Here is a 6,498-nt window from a genome sequence, read left to right on the forward strand (position 1 = left end):
TTGAGAGCTTGATGGCTTTGCTGGGTACCTTGGCAAATAGTGCCTGGCAGTGGATGGTCATTGAGTCCCTGGTGAGAACTGCAGGTTCTCTTTTCTCTGATGTCCAGATTTCTGAGTCCTATGAGAACTTGCATGGTGCTTTTCTGGGAAAGGAATGAAAAGCCTCACCATCGTGTAGCACACAGTGTCAAAATCTTGTCACAAATATCCCAGGTACTACCTCCTGATATGCATACCTAGGGCACTCTTGCCTTTCCAATTAATATTTTAAGGAAGTTTTCATTGATGATGGGCCCAGAAACTCAAACATATTTAACTTTGAGTTAAAATTAAACACCAAAGGAATGAGAGAGATACCCAGTTGAAAAAATAACTGGAAAGTTTAGGGAGATTATTTGATCTAAAATGACTCCTTTGGAGAGTAAAACCTATGGTCAGAGTTCTCAGTTCTTATGTACAAATTTTACAAGGGACGTAGTCCAAGCACTGTAAGTGCACATTATTTTTATTTGTGTATGTTTTCTCTTTTGTTTTTATTGCCTGCAATCAGGTGAAACAATGGTGGCAGTTCAGTGCTTTATTTCTGACTTTGACCAAACACAATCTCTTTTATGCCAAACTGTGATCAGAGATTTATTACCAAGCAGTGTGAAAAAATTGGACACTTAGAAAACGAATCGATGTTATGATTCAATGAAATTCTTAACATTTTTAAGTCTTGAAAATCCAAGGATAACTTATGTGCAGGTTCTGTTGGTCACTGTGGAGACGTAAATATTTTATTTGTGAAATCTGTTTGCTTACTTTGCAAGTATTCAGGGTGCAGTAGGTTGTGCCAGAATATTTAGTGGTACTGATAATAGTAACTACAGATGGAGAAAATCATAGAGGACGGTGGTGATATGTCTTAGACATCATTTCCATAATATTTACAAAAAGCAGAGCAACGAAAGGGCTTTCTACTTGAATCAAAATGATGTACCAAAGACCAATCTGTTTTCAGGATGTGGCAGGCAGCGACTCCCATTTCCTGTAATAGGGTCAAAACCTCTTGCTAACAGGCTATCTTCTCCCACACCTCCGTGGCTCCAAAAAGATATATAACCTTTGCTGCCCAGAATCTTACTTAGTAAGGGGTATATGAAGGTCATGCACTTGTATACTTGGTGTAAAAATAAAAAATATAATCCATTTCCTTTATTTTCTCCTTCGTATTTATAAACATATCCTAGGGCAGAGCTGTGCAACAGAACTTTCTTCGGTGATGGAAATGATCTAAATTTGGCTAATATGGTAGCCACTGGCAACATGTGGCTATTTGAGTGCTTGAAATGTGGCTAGCGTGAGGAAAGAACTGCATTTTAAATTTTATTTAATTTAAACTGATGCATATGACTAATGGCTGCTGTATCGGACAGTGCAGCCCTTGATTAGAGCTTAATTTTCTCAGTGAGGATTGGCTTGAGAAAAACACCACTAACGAGCCCTTCCTAAATAACAGCACAGGTAAAATAAAATTGAACAGATGTTTAGATTTTCCTGAATTCAGCTTAGGCAAGATTTCATAGGATCATAGTTTCAACTCTAATGGCTCCAGGGAAAATCATTGATTTTATCAAAAACAAACAAAAAAGAAGCTCTGATACCACTTTCTAAAATGTTTAAACAAAAATGCATGATTTGATAAATAAATCTATCACTTGGATCTTTAAGATTTTCTTCTTCTCAAATACATTAATGTTCATCTGTCAGGTTCAGGGTTAATTTGGAGGCCTCTTATCTTTGTCCTAAACTATCTCCTTCAAAATCCTATGTGACAAGATTTTCAGTGGAGATATTTTTTTTTTCTATGTTTTCATGCTTTGCATTCATCTTCTTTTAAATCATTAAGAGGTAGGGAAGAAGGCATGAAATTACTATCATAAATACATGCTGCAGTTGGCTTTGCTTCGCAGATCTGAGGAGAGCAAAGGTTTGGCTTCTGTGTGATCCAAGATGATTGCTATCGTTCCAAACAGTATATCACCCAAAGAAAGCTTTCTATTCCCAAATGAGTGATTTTTATTGTATTTGTCTATTGATTTATTTATTTTTATGTATTTAGGGGGGTAAAAGTACAGGTTTCTCACATGCATATATTGCATAATGGTGAAGTCTAGGCTTTTTGTGTACCCATTACCCGAATAGTGCATTGTACCCAATAGGTAGTTTTTCAAACCTCACCCACCTTCACCCTCCCAGGCTCCATAGTCTCCAGTGTCTATTATTCCACTCTGTATGAGCATGTATATCCACTGTTTGGTTCTCATTTATACATAAGAACATGTGATATTTGACTTTCTGTGTGAGTTATTTCATTGAGGACAATGGCCTTCAGTTCCATGTTGCTGCAAAAGTTGTGATTTCCTTCTTTTTTATTGCTGAATAGTATTCCATGGTGTGTATATATGTATATGCTACATTTTCTTTATCTAGTCCTCCATTGATAGACATTTAGGTTGCTTTCATATGTTTACTTTTGTGGATAGTGCTGTGAAAAACATAGGAGAGCAGGTATCCTTTTTATATAATGATTTACTTCTGTCTGGGTCTATATCCAGTAGTGGGATTGCTGGATTGAATGGTAGTTCTATTTTTAGTTCTTTCAGAAATCTCCACGTTATTTTCTATAAAGGTTGTACTAACTTACATTCCTACCAACGGTGTAAATGTTCCCTTTTCTCTGACTCCTTGCCAACATCTGTTGTTTTTAGGCTTTTTAATAGCCATTCTGACTGGTGTGAGATGGTATCTCATTGTGGTTTTGATTTACATTCCTCTGACTAGCGATGTTGAACAATTTTCATATATTTCTTGGCCACTTGTATGTCTTCTTTTGGAAAACATCTGTTCATGTCATTTTTCCTAGTTTTTAATGGGGTTATTTGTTTTTTTCTTGTTGACTTAAAGTTCTTTGTAGATTCTGGATATTAGCCTTTGTTGGATGCATAATTGCAATTTTTTTCCATTCTGTAGGTTGTCTGTTTCCAAATGAGGGGTTTTAAAACATGTAGACTAGCAGTCACCAAGGTGAAATGTTTTTTAAAAGGATCATAATATAAAAAATGACACCAAGGCATAGAGTTTAAGAGATATCAAGTATGTGTGAGCAAGGGTACATGAAATAAATAGTTTGACTTTCTGGGTACTGGTTTTATTTGCAGAATATGGAGTGTTACTGCACTCAAGGAACAGAACATCAAAATTTATAGGGGTCATTTCAGGCAGGTGTCTTGGGCCTTGCTAAGCTACTATAGCTAATTCGGGGAATCATGGAAAGATTTAGGCAGAGGGTTTGCAAGTCTGATTTGCATTTCAGATAAATCATACTCAAAGCTTGATGGTAATGAACTTGTGAAAGGGATATCCTTCAGGGTAACTTCAGCAGGACTTGGAAATTGACTGGATGTGAGGTACAATGCGAGTAAAGCAGAAGATAAAAAATAGAATTCAGTGTTCTCACTTGGGACTGGGCAGATATTGCTGTCAACAATTACAACTGGAACTGTTGTTGGGGAATAAACAAAACTGAGAGAAAGATAATGAGCTTAATGAACCCTTGGAATATATCCTTGGGAAACTATCCAGAAGACATTGAGATGTTTAAGTTGGGATTAGAGGAGCTATCTAGGCAGAAAGAGAAATTTAAGAATAATCTTCATTCTGGCAAGTCACTGTATATGGGCAGTGATGAGCTAGAATCATCAACTTGTAAAATAAGCCAAAGAAAAAGGAGCTCTTTAAGGAAACAGAGAAGAAATGGGAGGAGAAGAAGGAAAACAAATAGAAGTAAATAATCAAGAAATGAAGTAGTTTCTGGAAGGTCACTGAGGTAAACATACACTATATAGTGGGGACTGAAACTATCCTGTAGACATTGTGTTATATGTGACAAATACCTGCCTTCTATGGATCACTTCTCTTACTCATTTGCTCCTCTCTGTGCTATATTCCTGCATATTCTCCCACACATCCTTCAAAACTCAACATAGAGGCATTCTCCCCTGCAGGCAAGCTTTCCTGCCTCAGTGTCTCACCCAGCCAAGCTACATGAGTTGTTTTTCCATTTGACCCTATTTCTCCAGTGCCATCCTATGTTATTGCAGGGATAGTACCTACATGCCAGCCTCCCTCTCTGTACTGCAAGCTTTTCAGGGTTATTGTGGGGGACTGATTTGCACTAGGGATTACACATTTCATGTGTCCCTGTATTCACTCCTTTAGTAGTGTCCCTTCCACACTTGGACTTGACTATGTGTCTTCTTTTGGCCAATGGAATGATACAAAGTTGATTTCAGCAGAGGCTTGAAAGTGTTTGTGCATTTTGAGTTTCTTAGACTCCTGCTACCACAGGCAGATATGTCTGGGCTAACCTGATGGTGGAAGAGAGATTACTTCAAGCAGAACCAAGTCATCCTCACCAAAGCTATTCTAGACTAGCCAGCCCCTAGCTGACACAAAAGCTGAATTCATGAGCATTACGTTTTGGAGTGGTTTTCTACACAGCAATAATGATACAATTAGGAATCACGCCTTATACATCTTTTTAATTTCTAGCACATTAACCCAGTACTTAACATCCACTGGGTGTTCCATCAATATATGTTGAACTGAAAAGCCTAGAAGAGATAGAATGAAAGTTCCAATCTATTGCAAAGCATTTTTCTTTCCTCTCTTTCTACTAAACATTATGGCTATACCCCAAGGTTCCCACTAACTTTTACCTCTGAGATTTTAGGAGCTAAGACTGCAGGGGTGGTTGTGGGAAATCCAGCATGCGCAGTGTGGTTTGAAATCCACAGACAAGGGGCGATGGCTTCCTTCCTTGGCCCACTGCCCTACGCGCGGTGAGCAGAGCAGCCAAGCCAGAGTGGCAGCCGCAGTGTGGGAGCCCAGCTCTGCTGCCATAAATTACCCAGGGGCAGGAAGGAGCAGTGAGAGTCAGCGGTTTCAGCTACCTAGTAGTTCATTTTTGTTCTTGTTTTTCAGTTAGCAATCTGTAAAATTTATTGCAAAATTAAGCTCCCTGCTCCAGAGTCAATAATATTCCTGGTGCCAGGTGGTGTAATAATTCACCGAAAGGGCAGAAGTTGGAGGGAATAAGACTGATTTAGGAAGTAGACTTCCAAGCCCTATTGCTGCTGCCTATTCCCTGCTGCTAAAGGTCAGGTAAGTAGAGGGCTAAGGTTACAGCCTCCTGATATCCTTGGAGGGCTAGAATTTCTATTGGGTTTGAAATTGAAAACAAAAACTGTTTCTATTGCATGATGGATTCCTTTTATCCTTCCCACCTCTGTTTCCATTTTAGCATAAAAATAGAAACGTTCACTTTCATATTTTGTTTCTGGCTTTGCAAGGAAGAGGTACTGTAGAAAATATGGCCATGTGCAAGCTTCCTGCAGTGCTTTCTAATACCCTAACATCAATGTCTCTGAACTGGAGGGGCTATTGGAGATCTCTCTAATCCAAATTCTTCATTTACAGATGCAAACATCCAGTCTGGGAGTAATTAATGATTGTTCAGTTTCTGTCCAGACACTTACTTGAGGCTAAACACTAAATCTCATTCCCAGGTTATATGCCAACTGCTTCACTGGACATTCTGCCCCTGAAAGGACTTCAATTTTTCTTTGCTCTTTCTTGATTATGTACAGTATCTTTAAAAAATTATCTCTCCCTCTCCTATTATTTCTTAAAGAGTCTTAATTATGGGCCTGATTATCTAAAAGGACTATGAAGCCACATTTTCATTCCAGATGCAAGGGACAAACTGTTACCATCAACTAGCTTGTATTTAATTATCTTTACAAGTTAATTCCCTAATAGACAATTGAAATGCCGTATTTGGCTATTCCCTATGTCTCTTTCTTGAAATGCCTACAGAATCATCTTTGCAACCTGGGATGCAAGTTTGGTATTTCTTGGGACAATTAGCAGTTGGGAATTACACTCTACAAGTTAAATGTGTATGAAATTCAACATCACCATCTGCTCTTTTAGAAAATTTAGATGGAATTTCTTCATTTCACATCCTCAGTTCTTTATTGGTGTTGGAGCCTTAGCCACTAGCTCAGTGCTAGCTATAAAGCTCAGATTAGAAGAAATTGCTTTGATGTTTTCAAAGTCAAGAAAGAATTTTACACCTCTCTGAGTAGCCCTTGACTGCAGGTGAGGAATGTACCTCTGGAGAGGTACCATTAGAGCTAATTGTATATGACCTGATTGATCCATCAGAGCTCTTAGAGTTTCTAATTGAATTTGCTTTTGTCTTCATAAAATGAAGATTTGATTTAGTTGTAAGTTGTGGACTGGAGGAGCTGGCTGCATTCCTTATCTGATCACACGGATACAGTTGATATGATGATCAGAAGTGGGCTGCATAAATCCACCCTTGTCACCCAATTCCTCCCCTGTTACCCGTGTAAATCAAGGATAGCTCCGAGAAGCTCATTCTCCATC

At 38.4% G+C, this 6,498-nt stretch overlaps 1 annotated feature.

Moving 5' to 3' along the window:
- Window positions 4,931–5,431: an enhancer, noted in NCBI's record as "H3K4me1 hESC enhancer chr20:6849737-6850237 (GRCh37/hg19 assembly coordinates)". NCBI's record gives its function as "activates a minimal SCP1, AML or CMV promoter by ChIP-STARR-seq in primed H9 embryonic stem cells {active_cell/tissue: H9 hESC(primed)}" and the evidence as "EXISTENCE:reporter gene assay evidence [ECO:0000049][PMID:30033119]".

Source organism: Homo sapiens, chromosome 20 (assembly GCF_000001405.40).
Source record: "Homo sapiens chromosome 20, GRCh38.p14 Primary Assembly".
Taxonomy (NCBI): Eukaryota; Metazoa; Chordata; class Mammalia; order Primates; family Hominidae; genus Homo; species Homo sapiens.